Raw genomic sequence first — 24,465 nt, forward strand, 5'->3', positions numbered from 1 at the left:
CTCATAAAGCTTCCCTCTCCTTCCCTCTTTCCCCTTAGTTCTGCCTCTCATGAGCTTTTTCTGACTCTAATTTCTCTCATTCAGCTTTGTGTTTAGCTTTCCCACCACAAACAAATTGTTTCTAGTGCAGTTAAGATTCCAGGAAGATTGCCAGGGTGTATCCTTCAATTCCATAAAAAGGAAAGATATTAACTAAAAACATATACATGTGCACACAAAGTCTCCTTCACCCGTGCCTATTCTCTTATTAACTTTTTCCCCTCTTCCCACAAACAGCCCCAGTAGACACACAGTTTCAGTCTCAATCACTCTTCTACCTCTCTCATTTCTTGGCACATGCAAAATGTCATTTCCAGCATGCAGCAAATCACATCAAAGTGCTGCCTGTGCCCAAAGGCCACGTGGCTTCCTCTGAGCTCCTCATTCCTCTCCTTGCTAGCCTGGGTGATTAATTAGAGGCAGATAGGTTAGAGTGTTGGGCAGTTACTCCTAGCGATGACACAGAAGGAGGCTGAGCAAGGCCCAAATATGGCCCTTTTTACCCACCCTTCCAAACACCAAACCTCTTGCACAAGAGAACATTTATAAGCTGGGTCCTCTGCCTGTAAGCCTACTAAATGATAACAGCTCAGTGGTACTGACTGCTTTGTCTTTCTTCCAGCTCCTCTACTAGTGACCTCTCCAACTATGACCATGCTTATCTAAGGCGGAGCCCTGACCAGTGCAGCTCCCAGGGGAGCATGGAGAGCCTGGAGCCCAGTGGGGCATACCCACCCTGTCATCTTTCCCCTGCCAAGTCCACCGGCAGCATTGACCAGCTCAGCCACTTCCATAACAAGAGAGACTCGGCTTACAGCTCTTTCTCCACCAGTTCTAGCATCCTAGAGTATCCACACCCTGGCATCTCTGGCCGGGAGCGTTCAGGCTCCATGGACAATACTTCTGCTCGAGGTGGCCTCCTCGAAGGGATGAGGCAGGCAGATATTCGCTATGTCAAGACAGTCTATGACACCCGGAGGGGAGTCTCAGCAGAGTATGAGGTGAACTCTTCAGCCCTGCTGCTTCAAGGTAGGGAGGCCCGAGCCTCAGCAAATGGTCAGGGCTATGATAAATGGTCTAATATTCCTCGGGGCAAGGGAGTGCCACCCCCATCCTGGAGCCAGCAGTGCCCCAGTTCCTTGGAGACTGCCACGGACAACCTTCCTCCTAAGGTGGGTGCACCCCTGCCTCCAGCTCGGAGTGACAGTTACGCAGCATTTCGGCACCGTGAGCGGCCCAGCTCCTGGTCTAGCCTTGATCAGAAACGGCTCTGCCGGCCTCAGGCAAACTCTTTAGGCTCCCTGAAGTCTCCATTCATAGAGGAGCAGCTGCATACTGTGCTGGAGAAGAGTCCAGAGAACAGCCCCCCAGTGAAGCCCAAGCATAACTATACCCAGAAGGCCCAACCTGGCCAACCTCTGCTGCCGACCAGCATCTACCCGGTACCTTCCCTGGAGCCACACTTTGCCCAGGTGCCTCAGCCTTCTGTGAGTAGCAACGGTATGCTCTACCCTGCACTGGCCAAGGAGAGTGGATACATAGCCCCTCAGGGAGCATGCAACAAGATGGCTACCATTGATGAGAATGGGAACCAGAATGGATCTGGCAGGCCTGGGTTTGCCTTCTGCCAGCCCTTAGAACATGACTTGCTGTCCCCAGTGGAGAAGAAACCAGAAGCTACAGCCAAGTATGTCCCCTCCAAAGTCCATTTCTGTTCAGTGCCTGAAAATGAGGAGGATGCCTCCCTGAAGAGACATCTCACACCTCCCCAAGGCAACAGCCCACATTCCAATGAGAGAAAGAGCACCCACAGTAACAAACCATCTTCTCATCCCCACAGCCTCAAATGCCCTCAGGCTCAGGCCTGGCAAGCGGGTGAAGACAAGAGATCTTCCAGGCTCTCAGAGCCCTGGGAGGGCGATTTCCAGGAAGACCACAATGCCAACCTCTGGAGGAGGCTGGAGAGAGAAGGCCTAGGCCAGAGCCTGTCAGGCAACTTTGGCAAGACCAAGTCAGCCTTCTCATCTCTCCAGAACATTCCTGAGAGTCTGAGAAGACACAGCAGCCTGGAGCTAGGCCGGGGAACCCAGGAGGGTTACCCCGGGGGCAGGCCCACCTGTGCAGTCAACACCAAGGCAGAAGACCCTGGGAGGAAAGCCGCTCCTGACCTCGGGAGCCATCTGGACCGGCAGGTTTCCTACCCGCGGCCCGAGGGGAGGACCGGTGCCTCGGCTTCTTTCAACAGCACAGACCCAAGTCCCGAAGAGCCGCCTGCCCCCTCGCACCCGCACACATCCAGTCTGGGCCGGAGGGGGCCCGGCCCAGGCAGCGCCTCGGCTCTTCAGGGCTTTCAGTACGGGAAGCCCCACTGCTCGGTGCTGGAGAAGGTCTCCAAATTCGAGCAGCGAGAGCAAGGGAGCCAGAGACCGAGTGTGGGCGGCTCTGGTTTTGGCCATAACTATAGGCCCCACAGGACCGTCTCAACTTCCAGTACTTCTGGGAATGACTTCGAGGAGACAAAAGCACACATTCGTTTCTCTGAGTCAGCTGAACCCCTAGGCAACGGGGAGCAGCACTTCAAAAACGGGGAGCTGAAGTTGGAAGAGGCTTCCCGGCAGCCCTGCGGTCAGCAGCTGAGCGGAGGAGCGTCGGACAGCGGCCGTGGCCCCCAGAGGCCGGACGCTCGGCTCCTCCGTAGCCAGAGCACCTTCCAGCTCTCCAGCGAGCCAGAGAGGGAGCCCGAGTGGCGGGACAGGCCCGGCTCGCCCGAATCGCCCCTGCTGGATGCCCCCTTCAGCCGCGCCTACCGGAACAGCATCAAGGACGCACAGTCCCGTGTCTTGGGGGCCACCTCCTTTCGACGTCGAGACCTGGAGCTGGGGGCGCCCGTGGCGTCGAGGTCCTGGCGGCCACGGCCTTCCTCGGCCCACGTGGGGCTGCGGAGCCCCGAGGCGTCGGCCTCCGCCTCCCCGCACACGCCCCGGGAGCGGCACAGCGTGACCCCTGCTGAGGGCGACCTGGCCAGGCCCGTGCCCCCTGCCGCCCGGAGAGGTGCTCGCCGGCGCCTGACTCCCGAGCAGAAGAAGCGCTCCTACTCGGAGCCCGAGAAGATGAACGAGGTGGGGATCGTGGAGGAGGCCGAACCGGCACCCCTGGGCCCGCAGAGAAATGGGATGCGTTTCCCGGAGAGCAGCGTGGCCGACCGGCGCCGTCTCTTCGAGCGCGATGGCAAGGCCTGCTCCACGCTCAGCCTGTCGGGGCCCGAGCTGAAGCAGTTCCAGCAGAGCGCCCTGGCGGACTACATCCAGCGCAAGACCGGCAAGCGGCCTACCTCCGCCGCCGGCTGCAGCCTCCAGGAGCCCGGGCCACTGCGTGAGCGCGCCCAGAGTGCCTACCTCCAGCCCGGCCCCGCGGCGCTCGAAGGCTCCGGCCTCGCCTCGGCCTCCAGCTTGAGCTCACTGCGGGAGCCCAGCCTGCAGCCCCGCAGGGAGGCCACGCTCCTGCCGGCCACAGTTGCAGAAACCCAGCAGGCTCCCCGAGATCGCAGCAGCTCCTTCGCCGGTGGCCGCCGCCTCGGGGAACGGCGACGCGGGGACCTGCTTAGCGGAGCAAACGGTGGAACAAGGGGCACCCAGAGAGGGGATGAGACCCCCAGGGAGCCATCCTCCTGGGGGGCCAGGGCCGGGAAGTCCATGTCGGCCGAGGACCTGCTGGAACGCTCGGACGTCCTTGCGGGCCCTGTCCATGTGAGGTCCAGGTCATCTCCCGCCACCGCAGACAAGCGCCAGGTACGTGCAACCAGCAAGTCCTGGCCTCGAACTGTCCCTTCCTCCCTAGAAGCTTTAGTGGGGCTCCCCAACCCCCCACACTCTCACCCGCTCTCCCAGTTCAGTTTTCCTTGTGATTACAGAAAAGTAGCATTTGTTTTCATGAGTTGAGTTTCTCAAGTGTCCCTTACCTGGTTTCCTTATAAAGATATAGGTATCTAGATTACGTATGTTGTTATACAGATTCTCTATCTATCTGTCTACCTCCATTTTAGGAAGTCACCACCTCTCAATGGAAAAATGCAAGGTTAAGAAAAATTAGGGATTATCTTTTTTGTTTTTTGCTTTTTTTTTTTTAATGGATTAGAGTCTGGGTCTGAGTATTTTAAAAGTTTTAGCTTTGCACCCTTTCTGTTTCTATTGGACTTTGCATCTACAAAATAGCTAGAATGATTGACATTGATAGTCATTGGTTATTGAATTCCTGGCCCTCAGCTAAGTGTGTGGCAGGTCCTGAGCTAAGTGTAATCTACATTTATTATTTCATTTAACCCTCATGATAATCCTGTGCAGCAGAGTATATTATACATGTCAGACCCCTGTCTCTCGGACTCCCACCTCAGCTCTTTCTGTGCATTATCCTGGTGAGGAGAGAAAATAAGAAACTCAAAATCTCACATAAAAGGATTTTCTAATAAAGGCACCAAATGCTGCAAGGATTATAAAGTACTTTCCCCTGAAAATTTTAAGCAGTGCTGGGAATAGAAGCTGAGCATTCTGACTCCTAGGAGCCTGTTAATTTCCCTAATTCTTAGCCTATCCTCAGGCTTCACTTCCACTGTAGACCAGGGGCCTGCCTCATGCTTCCCTTCCCACCAAAGACAATAATAGGAATCACATACCTGTTAGCACAGGGGAGGAAGAACTCCGCTCCACTCTCCCCTCTCAGATTCTGCTGTTTTCCCTTTCAGAGAAGTCAGCCATTCAGCAAGCATCTGTAGAGCATGTGTTGTATGAAAAATGCTGTGTTACAGCATCAAAGGATACACAAAAGGAAAAAATAAGGCTCATGCCTTTCTGGAGTTCACAGTTAAGCAAGGAATACGACCTTATATGTATAAATCTAATATGACTAGTGAATGCTTTGGGAATAGTGATCAATAATATGCTATGGAAAGGAAAGTGATTAATTCTGAGGTGATCTGAAAGTGCTTCTCCTGAAGGGAAATGGGATTTTGGGCCAGGATGTAAAAGATGGGCATGATGACAAGAGATTAGGGGAGAGGGGATGCATTGATGGGAAGAAACCAGTTCAGACAAAGAAAGATTCAGCAGTTCTGGCTGAGAAGTTTGCTGCACTCTATCACACGCATACAGCAACAAATGCTACTTGCTCTTACCAGTCAGATGCTTATAGGGCAGGATTTTACAAGTTTTTGACAAGGATTTAGCTCTTTTTCAAAATTCTCATTAGGGAGGCCTTTCTGCCTCCAAAAACAAAGTCATCATGGAAATCAGTTCCTCTGTATGTGACGATTGATCCATCTCTGGCCTGAAATAATGACTGCAGGAGGCTACCATTTTGAACTACTTGTAGCCTGAGACCTTCTCATATATTTGGCAGGTCTGGCCTCTTCCTCAGCCAGCTTGAAATCCTCTCTGAAACATGCAACCTTCTATTTTCTTCTCCTTTAATTCCTCTTCATTGCAGAACAATAGATACTAGTGATGGAGCTTAAGTGCACATCAGACTCTTGCCTGTTTCCTTCTGAGAGAAAATACCGTCCCCTCCCAGATGTTTTCTGTTTAGAATTGTACAGAAATATTTTCTCCCAGTATAAATCCCCGACAAATATAGAGGCAACTTCCCATAAGCCTTCAGTAGCCTTTTCCTTCCTTCAGAATGAACAGAGCTAATTCCCACTCCCTATCCTACCACTAACACACATTTAAAATCCATATATGTAACACACAATTTCATTTAGCTTGATGGATTTTAGCAACTTAACTGCATAGCAGTCTAGACACCTTCCTTTCTCTCCCCGTGTTTCAAAGAAAATAAAAATGCTTAGGTGAAAACCAAATCATTATTGTTTATTCCCCATTAGATATTGTTATTTTGTCTTAGAGGTTGGTTGGATGGCTATGAATGTTATTTTATCTTTCCCCCCAAATATTTCTTAAGCCTGGTTGATTAAGAAATAAAGCTAAAACATAGGCGTTGGGAGAAGTGAAGAGATTCCTCCAAATCCCAATTAAATACTTTGTATTATTTGGAAAACTTTTTAGAAAGACAAGTGAATACAAAACAGTACTTGGGCACCCTTTTCATAAAGGGAATGCCATATTTAGATGTTATTTAATTTGGGGAATATGCAGGCAGAGAGGGAAATATTTCCAAATGAAATACTTCTTTTGTACTGCTTTGCTCCAACAAATACTGAAATTTCTGAACAATGCATAGTCTCTTATATTGTCACTGTGCCAGGACTGCATTCTTGAGCTTCCTCCCTCTCCTGGTCTCCTGCACAGCAGCCAGACCTTAGCTGACTGGAGAAGCATCTCATGGCAAGGCGGTCTGCTCCTTGCATCCTCTTCATCATCTGCCTTATTTGTAGTTATGATGAGTAAAAAATAAAACAAAGTTACTCTCACCACATAACTATTGTGGTTATTATATACATATTTTTCCTATTGAATAAATTTCAAGAACATTATCAGTAAGCTTTTGGGAAGGTTTGTTAATCAATCATTTTTCTCATCCTTGCTTTAGAGAATTCTGACAAGTTAAGTGAACTTGTAGAGACTGTCTGCCTGAGTTAAAACCACAATGTGGAGTGTGTTTCTGCTGCTGGCTTAGTTGATGCTATCTCCAACAAATGTTGCTTGCTCTTACCAGTCAGATGCTGACAGGGCAGGATTTTACAAGTTTTTGACAAGGATTTAGCTCTTTTTCAAAATTCTCATTAGTGAGGCCTTTCTGCCTCCAAAAACAAAGTCATCATGGAAATCAGTTCCTCTGTATGTGACAATCGATCCATCTCTGGCCTGAAATAATGACTGCAGGAGGCTACCATTTTGAACTACTTGTAGCCTGAGACCTTCTCATGTATTTGGCAGGTCTGGCCTCTCCTCAGCCAGCTTGAAATCCTCTCTGAAACATGCAACCTTCTATTTTCCTCTCCTTTAATTCCTCTTCATTGCAGAACAAATAGATATTAGTGATGGAGCTTAAGTGCACATCAGACTCTTGCCTGTTTCCACTTTCTTTCTGTGAGACCTTGGAAAAGTTAACCTGTTAAAAGTGGGTAGGACCTGCAAAGCTATAGAAAGATAGCCAACATTTCTGCCTTAGAGACAGAAATGTATATCTGTTCATTGCATAGATTTAAAATATAGTAGAGACTATAAAGAGAAACCCTTGGAGAAATAAGATTACTGGTGGGGATATTTCCCCCGGATGCTGAGTTAGAGACTTCTCTGGTTCTCACAGTATTTTCAGGGAACTTCATGTCTGATGTGTAACATAATCACTATGAGATGGTGTGACAAACATTACTGAATTGCTGAGGAAATTGCTCAATGCATGGAACCACAGTATTGGATATAGGCTTGATTCTGTGGAATGCAACTCATAAGTCTTTTTTAGCACCTTTCTACAAGCACACATTTAAGCTTATACAAAATAGAATTGACTTTCCACAAAATGTGAAGATACAAATAGCTAACAATAATCAAATTTTTGCTGTGTGCCAGTCATTGTACTGTGTTTTATAAGTATAAAATTAGTCTTGGCTGGGTGCAGTGGTGCACACCTGTAATCCCAGCACCTTGGGAGGCCGAGGTGGCTAGATTGCTTGAGGCCAGGAGTTCGAGATCAGCCTGGCCAACATGGCAAAAACCCATCTCTACTAAAAATACAAAAATTAGCTAGGCATGGTGGTGTGCATCTGTAGTCCCAGCTACTTGGGAGACTGAGGCACGAGAATCGCTTGAACTCACGAGGCAGAGGTTGCAGTGAGCTGAGATAGCGCCACTTCCCTCCAGCCTGGGCAACAGAGCAAGACTCTGTCTCAAAAAATAAAATAAAATAAAATTATTCCTCACATCTGTGCAATGAGGTAAATACTATTATTATCTCTAAGTTACAGAAGAAGGAACCAAGTCACCAAGAGGGTACAAAATTTGCCCAAGGTAGTAGAGTGAGGTTTTCACCCCATACTGTCTGACTGCAGAGTCTTTAAGTCACTATACCATGCCATCTCCTGAATAAAAAGAGGCTGGGAATGGGGAAACAGAGGCAAGAGTTAAATGTTCTATATCTGAAAATATCATCCAATGAATTTATTTCATTTTAACATTTATTACTATTTCAGTCATGCATCATATAATGGTCAAGGATGGACCACATATGTGACAGTGGTCCCATAAGATTATAATACCATACTTTTACTGTATCTTCTCCATGTTTAGATACAAAAATACATACCATTGTATTGCAACTGCCTACAGTATTCAGCACAGTAATATGCTGTAACAGGTTTGTAGCCTAGGAGCAATAGGCCTATACCATATAGCCTAGGGATGTAGTAGTCTATGTCATCTAGTTTCTGTAAGCACACTCTATAATGTTTGCACAAGGACAAAATTGCCTAATGATGCATTTCTCAGAACATATCCCTGTTGTTAAGTGACACATGACTGTATTTTTCACATCAGATTTTTCATAAGGATTTCTAGTTATTTTTAGTAGTTACTTGAAATATTCTAAAGTAGGTGAATATTGTCTTCACATTTCATCAGTGACAGAGATATTGAGATAACTAACTTGGAACCCAAAACAGGAGGACTGAGATTCAGTAGACTTTAGATTTACATTATTATTATTATTATTATTATTATTATTATTATTATTATTATTATTATTTTGAGACGGAGTCTCGCTCAGTCACCCAGGCTGGAGTGCACTGGCGCAATGTCGGCTCACTGCAAGCTTTGCCTCCCGGGTTCACGCCATTCTCCTGCCTCAGCCTCCTGAGTAGCTCGGACTACAGGCGCCCGCCACCAGGCCCCGGTAATTTTTTTTGTACTTTTGGTAGAGACGGGGTTTCACCACGTTAGCCAGGATGATCTCGATCTCCTGACCTCATGATCTGCCTGTCTCTGCCTCCCAAAGTGCTGGGATCACAGGCGTGAGCCACCGCGCCCGACCAATTTACATTATTAAGTATGCTAAGAACTGGTGTATTTTTAAGTCAATTTTGAGATAATTAACAAAAATAAATCAGACACTTAACAAGTTGGTATAATTCTATGCCTAGTATTTTTCCCATAGCCACTGTTTTTTTTTCCCTGTAATTGCCATAATAAGCACTTTGTACTTCTTACCAATTTATAGAAAATTAAGTCTTGACAGTGAATATATGCTCAAAGCAAGAAATGCAATAGGAATTTATCTTCCTTGGGCTTGTATCAGATTGGGAAGATATTTTCCTTTGTCAAGTGGTATTTTGATTGATAGAAGATTCAGAGAATTCTCTCAATAGTTTATTACTGGGTCTAATTCCTTTATTTTATCCACATCCACATAAATAGTTTAAGCTCGATATTCTAGGGGCCAAATCATGTGAATACAGAAGTTATATTCATTGTCAAAACGAAATGCAAAGGATGTAATAGGATATGAATACATATTTATACTTTACTGGGTTAGGCGCTCACATGGGACCTAGGCTTTTCCAATTAATTATTGGCAAAGTAGCACATTCTTGTCAACATAGGGAAAAATGGTGGGAAAAGACTTTTAAAGGACCATAAATTTCATGGAGAGCAGGAATTCTCATTCCCTACAGTGATATTTGAGTGAATCAGAACACATGGAATTCATTTTTCTCAAGCCATTCAAGTCTGATTACATCCAGCCCAGCTGCCATTCAACCTATAAAGATTCCATGGCAAGACCTTGGGCTTTGAAGAGATCATGGCTTGAATCATAGTTTCTCCACTTACTTAACTGTGGGCAAGATATGTCACCTTGCTGAGCTGCAATTACATACCCTGCTTCCAATTGTTATAAAGATTAAGTTACAAAAAAAAAGTCAAGTGCCTAATATTCCAGGCATATAATTTGTTGGTGCAAGGTACTTAGCAGAGTGTCTGGCACACAGTAAATACCCAGTACCGGTAGCTGCAATTATTAATAATGTTCAGGGGTTTGTTTCTTCTGCCTGCTCCCACCTTTGACCCTTTCTATTGCTTATTAGTTTCTCAACCACTAAACAAAAACAATGAGGAACGGGGTGAAGAGCAGTTAACCCATTGGGCAGGGTTAAATGGCAAAATAAATTACTGAAATTAAGTTAGAGATTATATATGGATTTAATTTTTCTGGTTTTTGCCTGTCTCCTGTCATAAATAATTGGGAGTTTAATATATTATCATCAATGGCAACATCATCATCTTCATCATGGACCTGATCACAGGGACCAAACTGTATACTATCAAAAACTGACAACCCTTTCAGGACTCCAGTATATACCCTCATTAAAACAAAAACAACTACCCCTGAAAAGGCCCCAGAGTTATTGATCTCACATGTGAGTGAACTTTTTCCTAGAATTTATTGCACCCGATTACAATCCAAATTCATATCTTCACTAATTGTAACTAGGAACATTTGAGATTTTTGCAAAATGTAATAGACTGTCCTTTCCCGTCATCTCTCATATTTCCCTATTGCCATTTGAAAAGTTTGGCCCATTGAATTCATTGTCTTCGTTATCCTATTTCAAGTTTAGCAGTTGTTTTGAACTCCAGAGATAATCGTTAGGAGACTTCTCTTAGTTAGGAAACATCCTTGTTAGAGGAGGCACCTGGTGAGACAGACTGAAGTTCAAATTCTGACTCTGCTTTTTTTTTTTTTTTTTTTTTTTAAATCTTCGGCTTATCTCCTGCATCGATGCCATGGGATTATGTAAGAGTGCCACCACGTGGCCTGACAATAGTAGGTTGCCAGTAAATAGGTGTTCCTTCTCCTTTTTACCTCCACCCTCTTGGTAAATTTAAACACCCGTTTATTGGCAGTAATGCTGTGCCTTTCTTGTGTTTCAAGGATGTGCTTTTGGGGCAAGACAGTGGCTTTGGTCTTGTGAAGGATCCATGTTATTTGGCTGGTCCTGGATCTAGGTATGTACATGTACTTATGATGCTCTCTGCATATGAATGCTGCTGGTGTTAAACTACTCTTGTTCCTTTCTACAAGAAATTGAAATGTGATGTCATATAGTGTCACATGCTTTTTTGATTTGTCTAGGCCATGGATAACTTTTTTTTTTAGTTTTATTATTATACTTTAAGTTTTAGGGTACATGTGCACAACGTGCAGGTTTGTTACATATGTATACATGTGCCATGTTGGTGTGCTGCACCCATTAACTCGTCATTTAGCATGGAGAACTTTTTATTTTCCATTTAGAAATGATTTTCTTTAAGAATGACACTTGTTCAAAATAGGTTTTGAACATGTGCTACTGAGGACAAGGTTGATTTGGCTAACCAGTTTGACAACAGAATAATTAATGGAGGTGCTATTCTTGAGCGTGCCCCATGGCTTTCACAAATGGGGCCTCCTGTGTGGCTGATCTCATCCAGCTCTGTGTGCAGAGCATCACATCTGGTGACCACAGTGCTAGGGAAGAACGGGCATTTCATGAACAGCTTCACAGAGGAAGGCAAACTGTAAGCATCGGAGGTGAAAAATAAAGCTCAAAATCATAACTTTATACATGTGGGGATGGAAAACAGAGGAAAGTCGTTTTTTTAAAATGCCATCAAAATCATATATCCTGGGTAGAAAAGTAAAATGAGCACTTTTTTAGAATTTAAAATTTTGAACTGTTCACATGGGACTTAATAAGTAGAAATTTTCAGAAAGGGTATTCTCTGAACCATGTACTCTGTATGTAGTTTTAATGCAGCATTACAGAGTTATCTACTATAATCTATTATTACTAATGATAATACACCTACACCCTACCTACTCCTTTCTACGTTTTTAAGCCATTTCCTTAATTTTTCTTACATTTCATTCAATCATTGTTTCTACATTCACCTTCTTAATAACACAACCTAATTCTGTCAAGTAGAAGCAGCCAACATGGTCAGGAAGTAGGTATTAATTACCTGCTTTCTAGCCAAGATCAGCCTTCTACATTTATATGCTCTTGCTCCTATAGCTGTGTTGACAAGGAAGAAAGTATTCAAGGTGAGGTTGAGGACTTTGGTGAGTTTGGGTGCATTAATTAAATGCTAGAGACAAGGGAAAACTAACAATAAACTAGAGTACTGCTAAAGAAAATTGGTCTGAAATCAAAGACGGGACGAAACAACAAACAATCAAATAACCCTATTTAAAAATGGGCAAAGGTAAAAAAAAGAACAAGATCATGTCCTTTGCAGCAACATGGATGGAGCTGAAGGCCATTATCCTAAGCAAATGAACACAGAAACAAAAAAACAAATACTGCACGTTCTCACTTACAAGTGGAAGCTAAGCATTAAGTACACATGGACACAAAGAAGGGAACAATAGACACTGGTGCCTATTTGAGGGTGGAGGGTGGGAGGAAGGTGAGGATTGAAAAAACTACCTATCAGGTACTATGCTTACCTGGGTGACAAAATTATCTTTACATCAAACCCCAGCGTCATGCAATTTACCCATGTAACAAACCTGTACATGTACTCCTTGAACCTAAAATAAAACTTGGAAAGGAAAAAAATAATTGAAGGTGACAGGTGAGGGGGGCTGTTGGTTGGCTCAGTGGCAATATCGACAATCTGAGAAACACAGGTGGCAATTTTGTGGGGAGGGGGAAATCTTCCTCAACAAAATTAGTTCTGTGTTTAAAAAAAAAAAAAAACTTTCTGAGCTGTAAAAATGCCAAAAGAATAAATATGACAAGCATCGCATACCACTGAATAACTGAAATGCTTGTCCTGTTCTTCAGCAATTGACATTAGCATAGGTGCAGCTGCATGCCTAGTGCTTGCTGAAAAGGATATTGATAATTTCAGGACATGTAATTCTCAGCTGTCCTGGGGAAAAGCATAGGCATGGAAAGTGCAGCCGACAGGAAAACATGGGAGGGACTTGATCACAGATCCTGTGCTATGAATTTTGAGTACTAAAAATTCTGCTTGCAGTATATTTTTCTGACCATCACAACCAAGAAGACACAAAAAAGTATAACACTCTTTTTTTTCTAAAGGCTTGCATGGTCTTTTATCATAGTCACTCTGTTAATCATAGTACGAAGACAAGAGTCACATCAACTGGACAATATTGAAATGTCAAAATAATTTGGAAGGTGGAATTTGGAGGAATGTGCCCTCTGTTCTCCATGAATGCCTATTAGGATCAGTCAGTTTTCCTCCATGCTGACATAATTCTCCCTGAATACATGAAATTCAGACTTTACATTAGTGCTTTTTAAAAAACATAAAATGTTCTAATTTATAGAAAAGTAGAGATTTTGCACTGTTCAAGTTTTATGAGAGTTTGATGCCTTCATGGGTCACAAAGAGACAATAGTTGTCATTATTATATACTTCTTTCCTGTTTTCAAACATTCTCCACTCTTTTTATCTCCATTTTAAAGAAAAACACTAGAGGATACCAATCCAACTAAATTCAGACATTCACTTGTTAATTTCAAACATAAAAATTTACTTGTCTATATAAAAATGGGCAAAAGACTTAGACATTTATCCAAAGATGGCAGACACATGGCCAACAAGCATTGAAAAGATGCTCAACACCACTAATCATCAGAGAACTCAAAACCACAATGAGATGTTTACCTCACACACATTAGAATGGCTGCAATTAAAAAAACGAAAAACAACCAGTGTTGGTGAGGATATGGGGAAATTAGAAACCTTGCACACTGTTAGTGGGAATGTAAAATGGTGCAGCCGTATGAAAAACAGCATGGAGATCTCAGAACATTAAAAATAGAACTACCATATGATCTGGCAATGCCACTTCAGAGTATGTGTCCAAAAAAATTGAAAGCAGGGTCTCCAAGACCCATGTTCACACCCATGTTCATAGCAGCTGTATTTACTATTCACAATAGCCAAGAGGTGGAAACAACCCAAATGTCTACTCATGACAGATGATTGGATAAACAAAATGTGGTATAGCCATACAATGGAATATTACTCAGCCTTAAAAAGGAAATTCTGCCACATGCTTCAACATGACATTACGTGAAGTGAAATATAAGCCAGTCACAAAAAGACATACTGTATAATTTCACTTGTATGAAGTACTTAAAGTAGTCAAATTCACACAAAACACAAAATAGTGATTTCCAGGGGTTAGTAGGAGGGGGAAATGGGGAGTTATTATTTAGTGGGTACATAGTTTTAGGTTTGCAAGTTGTGAAAGTTCTGGAGATCTGTTTCACAACAGTGTGAACATATTAACACTACTGAACTTAAAAATGGTTAAGATGAAATTTTATGTTGTTTTTTCTAACCACAATTTTTTAAAAATGCTTTTTCTTTTTTTTTTTAAAGCAAAACAAAACAAAGGTGAGACTAATTGCTCTCAAAATCCATTCTTGAATAGTAGGATTCCTGGATACATATCAGCAGACTCTGGGTGACCCTCTCACACTCTATTATAAAAGGGACTTGAACAAAGTCTTTTTTTATCCCAAACTTCATTCCTAAAAACACAAAATAATCACCACGGAGAAGCATTCTCAACCAAGCTAAGCATTTACCACTGATATTATCTTCAAAAAGAAAATGCCACTTTAGTATAGTTTGTGTAAACTAAGGTCACACAAACTAAAAACATCATATAAAAGTCTATTGGGCTGGATCTTTAAAGGATAAGTGCTATATTATTGTATGTTTTAGTGATGTCTTCCCCTTTAGAAAAGCCTCAAGATATAATAAATAAAATAAAGGCATCTGAATTAGTCGTTAAAACATCAGATTTCAACTGACTCCACATCCTGTTAAAGGATGCTGGGTTTAAAAACAGTTTGTATGCTACAGTCTGGAGAGCAGCTGGGCAAAGGAGACGTCACTGTTCAACAGACATTTGCTGAGGGGGTACTTGGTGGCAGGTACTGGGGATGCCAGGATGGATGAGACAGAAGTGAAGAGCATCCCCAGCGGGAAGCCACCAGGAAGTGCAGAGTGGCTACACTTCTCTATGGAGAGGTTCCTGGTAAAGAAACCATGTCTGAATGAAAGGGACTGGTCATGGGAAGGGAGGGGTTGCATCAGAGAGAGAGGTGGGCCCTTTATTCCATCATCTGCATCTATGTATAATAAAGGAAAAATAAAGGCATGAGAAGAGCTAATTTGGTTCTTTGCCATCTTCTTCCACCACATGCTGCATTCTGTTTGCCTGGCACTTGGATGATCTTGTGGCAAGCCCTGTGTTATTGCTCTGATGTGGGACTGAGTCACCACTCCCTCAGAGGAGTCAGATCTGTGAGATGAAATGTGCCATCTGCACTCCAGATCCACTCACATAGCCAGTCAGGGAACTGCAGACAGGGAATGTACAAATCACGGTGGGTTTGCTGGAGAGCTTTTTATCCTCACATTAACTCTTGCATAGCAGGTAGTGCCACAGACTCTTTTTTCTGTTTTGTTTTGTGGATTTTTCTCCTTTAGAACACAATAACAAAAGTTTTGCGAATTGTTGGGTTTTTCCTCGGAGTCTAGCGTACAGTTGTTTAAATCACCATGTACTATATTTGCTTATTATTGCCAGCCTCTTTCTCCAGAGGTAACTGCTTATTAGCTCCTTAGGTGAGACTCTCCCCCTCCTTTTTATTTTTCATCAGATGAAATGAAAACACTAGGAGAGTAAGCAAAAGTTGTAAATAAAACCTTCAAATTCAGCAGCCCATGCAAATGCTTTCAAAACAGACCTCCCCCGTGGGGATCGCACTGGGAGAGAAGAAGGCAGCATTATTTTTCCCCAGAGCTGGGAGCTATTTCCTGAAGTAGTCCTAAAAGGGGCTGAAGAAATGTACTGTTTGTTTTTATAGCCTGAAGCCTGTCCTCAAAAGCTGCCTTATGTTGCATGGTGTGTACAGGATGTGGGGGCGGTGAGAGGGTTAATAAAAGAAAATGCCTTGTGAACCCAGTCATTCCATGTGACATTTTCCTGTAGGAATTTATGCCTGCCTAGTACTGGTTTAACTTGGGTCTTCCTGTGAGCAGCCAGGGAAGACAGTGTGCAGTTTCTGGGGGAAGGAAAAGAGGTCCTCCTTCCTCTTAAATGCTTTTCTCATCTATGTAAGGAGCATTGGGCTGCATGTTTGCCCCTTTCTTCAGAGCTGTAACCCTCCTGTCTGTGTGCCGTTCCAGGTCACTCAGTTGTTCAGAAAGAGGCCAAGAAGAGATGCTGCCGCTCTTCCACCATCTCACCCCTCGTTGGGGTGGTTCAGGCTGCAAAGCCATTGGTGATTCCTCCGTTCCTAGTGAATGTCCTGGAACCCTGGACCATCAGAGGCAAGCCAGTAGGACACCCTGCCCCAGGCCACCACTGGCAGGAACGCAAGGGCTGGTCACAGACACCAGGGCTGCACCCCTGACCCCAATTGGCACCCCTCTGCCTTCAGCCATTCCCTCTGGCTACTGCTCACAGGACGGTCAGACAGGGCGACAGCCTCTCCCGCCCTACACCCCTGCCATGATGCACAGAAGCAATGGTCACACCCTGACCCAGCCTCCCGGTCCAAGAGGCTGTGAGGGCGATGGCCCAGAGCATGGGGTAGAAGAGGGAACGAGGAAGAGGGTCTCGCTGCCTCAGTGGCCACCTCCTTCTCGAGCAAAGTGGGCCCACGCAGCCAGAGAGGACAGCCTTCCTGAGGAATCCTCAGCCCCTGATTTTGCAAACCTGAAGCACTATCAAAAACAGCAGAGTCTTCCAAGTTTATGCAGCACTTCTGACCCAGACACACCTCTTGGGGCCCCGAGCACTCCAGGGAGGATCTCCCTCCGAATATCTGAGTCTGTCCTGCGGGACTCCCCGCCACCTCATGAGGATTATGAAGACGAAGTGTTTGTGAGGGATCCGCACCCCAAGGCCACGTCCAGCCCCACATTTGAACCTCTTCCCCCACCCCCACCTCCTCCACCGAGTCAGGAAACCCCGGTGTATAGCATGGATGACTTCCCTCCACCTCCTCCCCACACTGTATGTGAGGCGCAGCTGGACAGTGAGGATCCCGAGGGGCCACGCCCCAGGTGAGTGAGCAGACTGGGCAGCTTTCCCCCACTAACAGGAGAGTGTCATGCCCCAGGTGGCCCAGGTCCTTCTGCTGGCCACAGAAGAACCCTGGCATGGAGATGTTTCTATACAGCTCAGCTCAGGACACTGTTGATCTGTTTGCCTCAGGAGGTAGTTGGACCAGTGTCATTGGGTACTGAGGAGTCAGGGTGGCAGAAATGAAAGCTGGGACCCAAGGGGCACATTTCACTTCTGGGGACAGGATAGGCTTAGGCGGTCCAAGTAAATCCCTCCTCCCTGGATGAGTTCTGAATCAGTTAGGAAATAAGACAAAAGAGGAGGGCATATAGAAGACAAAAACATCACTTTTATTACTGACAGAGCTAACATTAAAGAATATGGCTTCAGATTGTAAGTGGGTCTCTTGATACTGAACCCCCAAGTTAAACAGCTTTACCTACCTCATCAAAGGTCATGTTAGACACACAAATACACATAGATATTAATATATACAGCCTTGAGGCAGCCTCAGTCTCAAAAGAGAAGAGAGACTGGGATGTGAATGCTCAGCTTCTCTTTCCAAAATCACTCCATGTCCATAGGGAGGAATAAAGAGTAGGGCTCAAGGTCAGTAATGTTTAGGGAAAACCTCTTGGAAGCTAGGAGAATGAGAAAGAAGCATTCCCCAACACATAGTCCCTAGAACAAGTAATCTCTCAAAACACCAAAAAAACACATTGCCTGACAGCACCTTTTGAGTGGCTTTCTTTAAACACCACAAGAGTGACTTACTACCACTACCCCTGTTAACCTAGACCTTTCAGAAATCTCTGGAATCTAACAGCAACATTCACCAGAACTGAATTCCTAGTCCATCTTCCTCAGGAGATGACAACCTCCTGACCAGCTGCTGGGCTCAGGAGCCCCTTTAGAGTGCTGTTGTTTTCTAAAGAAGGGGTTGATCTCAAATGTGACTATCTCACCCTACTCCTATGTATATATCTATGTATGTTTGTGTGTCTAGCATGACCTGTGACTAGGTAGGTAAATGTTTTTAGTTTCGGGGTTCAGTATCAGGAGACCCACTTATAATCAGAAGCCATATTCTTTAACATTAGCTCTGTCAGTAACATGTGGAAGATGTGGAAAGCTACAGCCCTGATGTGGAAAGCTTCTCCCTCAGTCTTTCTCCACCCTCTTATCATCACCCTTCTCTTATCACTCTCTCTTTCTCTCTCTCTCTTTTTTTTTTTTTTTTAAATATCCCTGGCAGCTTCAACAAACTTTCTAAAGTGACAATTGCAAGGGAAAGGCACATGCCTGGTGCAGCCCATGTGGTAGGTAGTCAGACACTGGCTTCCAGACTCCAAACTTCTATCAAGGGTTCAGAGGCTGAGTCCACACCACCCTCCTTCATGAGCGTTCACGCCCAACTTGCTGGGTCTCTTGGTGGGCAGCCAGCACCCATCCAGACTCAAAGCCTCAGCCATGATCCAGTCAGTGGAACTCAGGGTTTAGAAAAGAAAGTCAGTCCTGATCCTCAGAAGAGTTCAGAAGACATCAGAACAGAGGCTTTGGCCAAGGAAATTGTCCACCAAGACAAATCTCTAGCAGACATTTTGGATCCAGACTCCAGGCTGAAGACAACAATGGACCTGATGGAAGGTTTGTTTCCCCGAGATGTGAACTTGCTGAAGGAAAACAGTGTAAAGAGGAAGGCCATACAGAGAACTGTCAGCTCTTCAGGATGTGAAGGCAAGAGGTAAGTCCCTGGTGATGTCCTCAGAGAGACTTACAATCACACTCCTTCCATGGGGATGATGATAAGTCTAGGACTAGTTGCCTGATGTTCTCCTACTGCCACAGCTCCTGAACCAAGAGTGACATTTTATCTCAGTCTTGGAGGAATGGCTCTGGCAGTGAGGATGTGGGACAGATATGCAACAACAAAGAAAGTAATAGTAATAATTATAATAATTGCCATTAGTACCCATTGTTAACGTTGTGTGTCAAACATTGTATTAATTTATTTATATCAACATTATTTAATTTTCACAAGAACTTTCTGAGGTGGCTACCAATTTTACCTCCATTTACAAATGAGGAAACTGAAGTACAGAGGAATTAAGACCATGCTCACCAAGGTCATTGAACATGTGAGTGATGGCACCTGGATTTGATCACAGCCCCATGACTGTGCCTGTCTCCAGCAATTACACAGTGCCCCCAGCTCAGCAAAGGTGTACTTGCCGGTTCTGTATCAGAGCTGCTCTGGCAGAGAGGCCCTCAGAGCTCGGTGCTGGGAAAGGAGCAAGTGGAAGTGGTGAGCGTGGCCAACGTCTTGCCAAGACTGAGAGGGGAAGGGCTTTGTAAGGAGGAGAGCCTAGAGAAATAGATTCGTGTACTACACTGACCCTTACCTCTGAGGCATTAAGGTGGGTGTTGGCGCAAATCCTGAAAATCAGGAAAGGTCTGAGTAGGAGCGCACTGTCTGGTTTGGCCCAGTCCGTGAGCCTCTGCTTCTGAAGCTCCTTGAGCCAGCCATGTAACACGTGTCCCAGTGTGCAGTCTGTGCTTTTCATTTCTCCTGGGTTACTGCAGTATTTTCTTGCATGTTTTATTTCCTTAAAAGACTACTATGAGAAAGACTGAGTAGCTTTCATTTTCTCTTAAATTTTCAGTGAAATCTTTGTGGATTGACAGTCTGGGACTCAGCAGTTAGTGGCTTCCAGACTAAATAAAAACAGAACATTTTATCCAAATTTGGGATTGCATTTTAAAAATTTCCAACTGATCCTAACTAAATTACTAACAGGAACACCACGTTTCATTTTATGGGGGAGAGAGAAAGGAAAGAGCTATGTGATACTTACAAGCTATTTGTCACATTGTCAGAGGCTCTTCTGATTCAAGGCCTTAACTGTCACCTTGTCCATTTCACTGCTTTTATTTTCAGATTTGGGAAACAGACTAATTGAGGTGAAGTGATTTATCCAGGGTCATGTCTTTAGCAAACACATACTGAGCACCTACAATGTGCAAGGCAATCCACTGGGTACTATGGGGACCCCAAAGATAAGATTTTTGTAGGTGTGCCAGTCAGTTCACCATGGGTGGTTGCAGTATGGTCATTCTGTTCTCTGACCACTGGCTGAAGGACCAAAGTAACATCCTTAGCAAAGTATTTCCTAGCATTACCACTGGAAATATATGTTTGCTCCGTCAGTTTAGAAGCAGAATGGTCATGGAGCTTTTGCAGCACTGAGACCTTCCTGGGGATTTAAAAAAAAAAAAAAAAAGGCATGCGCCATCTCCTGGTGGAAATAAGCATTGTCCTGTTGGGCATGAGATGGCCAGTAGCCATTGTGAGGGTTGGTCAGATGCCAGAGAATCCCATTTGTAATGCGGTGGACATATCTGAAAACAAAAACAAACAAAAATGTATCAGAAAATCTTTTCCCTGTCTTTCAATTAACTGGATTAAATGTGGTCATTGTTGCTTACTGGGACAGTTATCAAGCAGGAAACTAGTAAAGATGATTTTTTGTGTGTGTGGTTCCTAATTTCATAGTAAAATGATGGGCTAGATGTTAAATAATATCACAAGATTAAATAAAGTTCCTCTCCAAGAGAATCGTACTTCCATAGAGTCATTTATTCAGTGGGTAGGATATGAATTATAGGCTGAAAGGCAACTCAAATGTGGTAAAACAGAGAACTACTAGATAGCAGGTTTCTCAATTCTGAGTTTTTTCTTCAGCCTTAAAACATCCCTATTATATTATCAATGAGTAGATTTTATATCTTGTATTAGTTCACTGCGGACCAGCAAACTGCAGATTTCCCAGGATTATATGGGATAGCAGGCACACTTGAGAAGGAAAAATTTTGTGTGTTCAAGCAACAGTGCATAGTAGGCACTAGAAAGATTACATGTAACCAAAGGAGTATAGGAAATAATTGACCTAAAACCTGAGGTTTGTGCAGCACCTTGAAAATACTTTCACATTGATTGAGTCATGGTTCCACACTGCCTTTCTCTGAAATAAGGAGTCAGTGTCGTTCTTATATGAATCACAAAAGCAGAGAGGTTAAATGTCTTCTCCAGAGTCAGCTGGCGAGGCCATAGCCTTGACTCCCACTGTCATCCCTAATGCTGCTTTTGGTGGTTTTCCATCCCAAGTTTGCCTGGCTTCAACAGCCCTGTACATAGTAATCACTCATTAGTTAACAGTTACTAGTTTATCCTAATTTCTGGGAAAGAAATTAAATAGAATTGTTACGCACTTCTGAATGGACTGACATCTGCAGTGAAACAAAGCCTCTGGCGTGATCTGTGTGGCTATACTTTGTGCTCTTTTTGGCCCAGGAATGAAGACAAGGAAGCAGTGAGCATGTTGGTTAACTGCCCTGCCTACTACAGTGTGTCTGCTCCCAAGGCTGAGCTACTGAACAAAATCAAAGAGATGCCAGCAGAAGTGAATGAGGAAGAGGAACAGGCAGATGTCAATGAAAAGAAGGTAAATAAAGAATGGGATGCCCTTGTTCAGCTTTCCTCAGAAAAATTGACAAGGTCCATGTAATCAGCGTGGTGACTGGGCCTCTTGAGGCAGGTGGGGAAAGGACCTGTCACATCACCAGATTGCACCAAAATCATTAGACTTTGGATTTACATGGCACTTTAACTAATTTCCTCTTAGCTTTTCTGTGAGTAGGCAGGGCAGGTAAGCTACTGTACTTTTCGTTTTTACAAATAACAGAAGTGAAGCTTAGAGGGATTATTAGAAGTCTCATAGCCAGGACTTGAACCCAAGTCCCTAGCCTCCTAATCCAGCACCAGGACCCCGACACTGTTCTCAGCTGCTGGTTGGCCAGTGCCAACGGTGTGTGTAATTTTCTTGTTTCATAGTCAAAAGGAAAATTTTAAAATCTAGAAACTTTTTTTAGGGAAGGAGGCCAATTGTTAAATGACACTTCTGAGAAAAAGTAATATTAACCTTTATATCTTCCCCAGCCCTTTTTGAGGGACTTCAGCGAATAGCTTGAAAGTGCAGTGCTGGAATCTAGTTGTTAGCATTTGATACTCCTACAGAGATTTCAAATGTTAAGACACTTAAAAAATGACCGTGATGCTGCTGCTGTCTTCCCACATGCCATGGAGATCTAAACTGGGCTGTGTCTGCAGGGGAGAAAGTTCTCGCCTTCCACTTTCTCTATAGCACCAGAGGGGCTGCCTTCTGCTGTGCTTGCAGCTCTCTATGCAGCTCAGGCATGTGTGCTGCAAAGGAAAGCTTGCTTGCTTCTTGCTGAGCCTGGAAGGTAAGTGGTTTTCAGTGATCCTGATTCCAGGAGAAACTTTCTAGGGTGATTTTATTTCATTTGATCTACAATGTGTCCCAAGCTGTCTTGTCTGTTGGAATGAAACCACAGGATATAGACCCTAGGAGCAGAGGGTAACTGGACAGGAGGGATCTTTGCAGCACCTCTGGGTCATGGCTAACATGCTGATGCAACCATTGTAGTAGCAAGCTCCCTGCTAGCCCAAAGTTTTCCTATTTACATACTTGTCATTGTATACCCCTGATATATATACCTACCCCAGCACTGCTGAGCACTTCATTTAACGGGTCCCCTGATTGCAAATAAGACCACTTGGCTTTTGGTCTGTCTATATTTATCCCAAAGAGAGAGCTATGTATACACCCTTACATGTATCACGTTGCCATGGCATCTTTAACTGAACGTTTTACACAATTTTTTTGTTATTTTGTTTTCTGCCTTTGGGCATACCTGCTTTACAGTTGCAGTGTGGCAAATACTCATTGCTTTTCCTCCCTATCTTAATTTTTAAGTGTTTTTTTTTCTAAGTTTTATTTTAGAATCGGGGCATAGGCAGGTTTGTTACAAAGGTATATTGCATGATCCTGAGGCTTGCTGTATGATTGTATGCATCAACCAGGTAGCGAGCATAGTACCCAATAGGTAGTTTTTTAACCTTTGTCCCCTTTCCTTCCAACCCTCTTTTATTCCCCAGTGTCTGCTGGTCCCATATTTATGTCCATGTGTACCCAATTAACTGTTTTCCCATCACTTTCAATTATCACCCTCTCACTCGAAGCATTATGTGGCAAAAAGTATTTTTAGACTGAGAATATGAAGAAATAGAGAATTCATCCATCCTCACGGGAAACAACATTAGGTAGTATGTATTTCATTCCAAGTGTGGGCTATGTATTTGATTTTCTTTTCAACACAATGCTGTACTATCTTACTTGCACAAAACTCCTCTGACACTTGTACTACCACATTTTATGCTAATCAGAATTAGAGAATTTAAGGGCTGGGGTCACACAGTTAATAGATGCTAAAGTCAGATTTAACCTTATGTCTTTCTGACCCCAAAGCCTGCTAAAAATTGCTCCCAGGTCAGCTGCCTTTAAACCTTGCTGCCCTGGGAACTGAGCTAAACTGGAGGTTCTCTGGGTATAACTAACCAGAGCTAGAGTTTGAGATTAAAACCAGTTAAAACCCATTTTAAACCAAAAATATGAGAACAGCAGTGTCCGTGACTTGAGGACTGAGGAGTTTCGAGTCATTTGGAGTGCCTTTTGGGGGAGTCACGGGCTTAGGAAGACAAAACCCCACTCAGGGTGGAAGAGATCTTAGGGAGAGGAAATGTCACAGCCACATAACCAGGGCCTGGCACCTAGCACGTGCTCAATAAACATTTGTTTCATGAAGTTATAAAGTGCAAAACTCCCAAGTTGGAGTTTACCGTTTAACTGAAGAAAAATATCCAGAAGCCCACTGTGGAAAGGTTATAGGATTCGAGTCTATGGCCTTGCTATCCTCAACACATTTGATCTCAGAAGCTGACCAGGGTCAGGCCTGGTTAGTACTTGGATGGGAGATCATGGTATTAGAATTCAGAAGAAAAAAAAATCTGGAAGTTAAGCAACTAGTTTGTCCTTTCTTGACCCTTTTTTCTTAATAAAATGGAAGTGGTAATGATCTCTCACATAATAGTTGTGGGGTCAAATTAACTGACATATATGAATGTGCTTTTTGAGCTGCAGGGTGTAAGAGCATATAATATCTTAACAGAGAAGTGTTTAAGGCAATGTCATGTAAGTATGCAAATGTTGATGGCATCTGGTATCTTTCATGTTAAGATGTTCAGTGAGAAGGTGCCTTATTGCCAACAAGGCTAGGCACTTTCCTAAATCAGACTCTTACGAGGAAAAACAGCTCACATTTGTTTTCTCTCTTCACTGTGGAAAATGTTGCCCACAGCACCAGGGGGATGATACCCACTTGCCCTGTGGGCTTATCTGGCTCTTCAGGGATAAAGAAAGATGAGAAAAGGCCATTTAGTTAATGAGGCCTCCA

General features: G+C 44.0%; 1 protein-coding gene and 1 long non-coding RNA gene across 4 annotated transcripts in view, besides 2 other annotated features; one reads left to right on the forward strand and one right to left on the reverse strand.

Annotated features, from left to right (window-relative positions):
• SHROOM3 (shroom family member 3) overlaps positions 1 to 24,465 on the forward strand; it is a 348,025-nt gene that overhangs the window by 302,871 nt on the left and 20,689 nt on the right. The window contains exons 5-9 of the mRNA NM_020859.4: positions 662 to 3,827; positions 10,918 to 10,991; positions 16,212 to 17,093; positions 18,350 to 18,838; positions 21,446 to 21,596. Of these exons, the coding sequence (NP_065910.3) occupies positions 662 to 3,827; positions 10,918 to 10,991; positions 16,212 to 17,093; positions 18,350 to 18,838; positions 21,446 to 21,596 (4,762 nt within the window). The remainder of the gene's footprint in view (positions 1 to 661; positions 3,828 to 10,917; positions 10,992 to 16,211; positions 17,094 to 18,349; positions 18,839 to 21,445; positions 21,597 to 24,465) is intronic.
• SHROOM3-AS1 (SHROOM3 antisense RNA 1) overlaps positions 1 to 24,465 on the reverse strand; it is a 92,558-nt gene that overhangs the window by 28,194 nt on the left and 39,899 nt on the right. Inside the window, exons 2-3 of one of the 3 annotated variants that reach the window (NR_187404.1) lie at positions 19,950 to 20,493; positions 4,709 to 4,801 (exon numbers count right to left, since the gene is read on the reverse strand). This is a non-coding gene — a long non-coding RNA (SHROOM3 antisense RNA 1). Of the gene's footprint in view, positions 1 to 4,708; positions 4,802 to 17,423; positions 18,990 to 19,949; positions 20,494 to 24,465 lie in introns of those variants that run through there. The other 2 variants (NR_187406.1, NR_187405.1) reach the window with 2 other exon arrangements.
• Positions 15,817 to 16,111: a silencer, noted in NCBI's record as "tiled region #6551; HepG2 Repressive non-DNase unmatched - State 24:Quies". NCBI's record gives its function as "represses a minimal TATA promoter and a strong SV40 promoter by Sharpr-MPRA in HepG2 cells {active_cell/tissue: HepG2}" and the evidence as "EXISTENCE:reporter gene assay evidence [ECO:0000049][PMID:27701403]".
• Positions 20,965 to 21,034: a silencer, noted in NCBI's record as "silent region_15489". NCBI's record gives its function as "represses an Ori minimal core promoter by ATAC-STARR-seq in GM12878 lymphoblastoid cells {active_cell/tissue: GM12878}" and the evidence as "EXISTENCE:reporter gene assay evidence [ECO:0000049][PMID:35858748]".

This window comes from Homo sapiens, chromosome 4 (assembly GCF_000001405.40).
Source record: "Homo sapiens chromosome 4, GRCh38.p14 Primary Assembly".
In the NCBI taxonomy this organism is placed as follows: domain Eukaryota; kingdom Metazoa; phylum Chordata; class Mammalia; order Primates; family Hominidae; genus Homo; species Homo sapiens.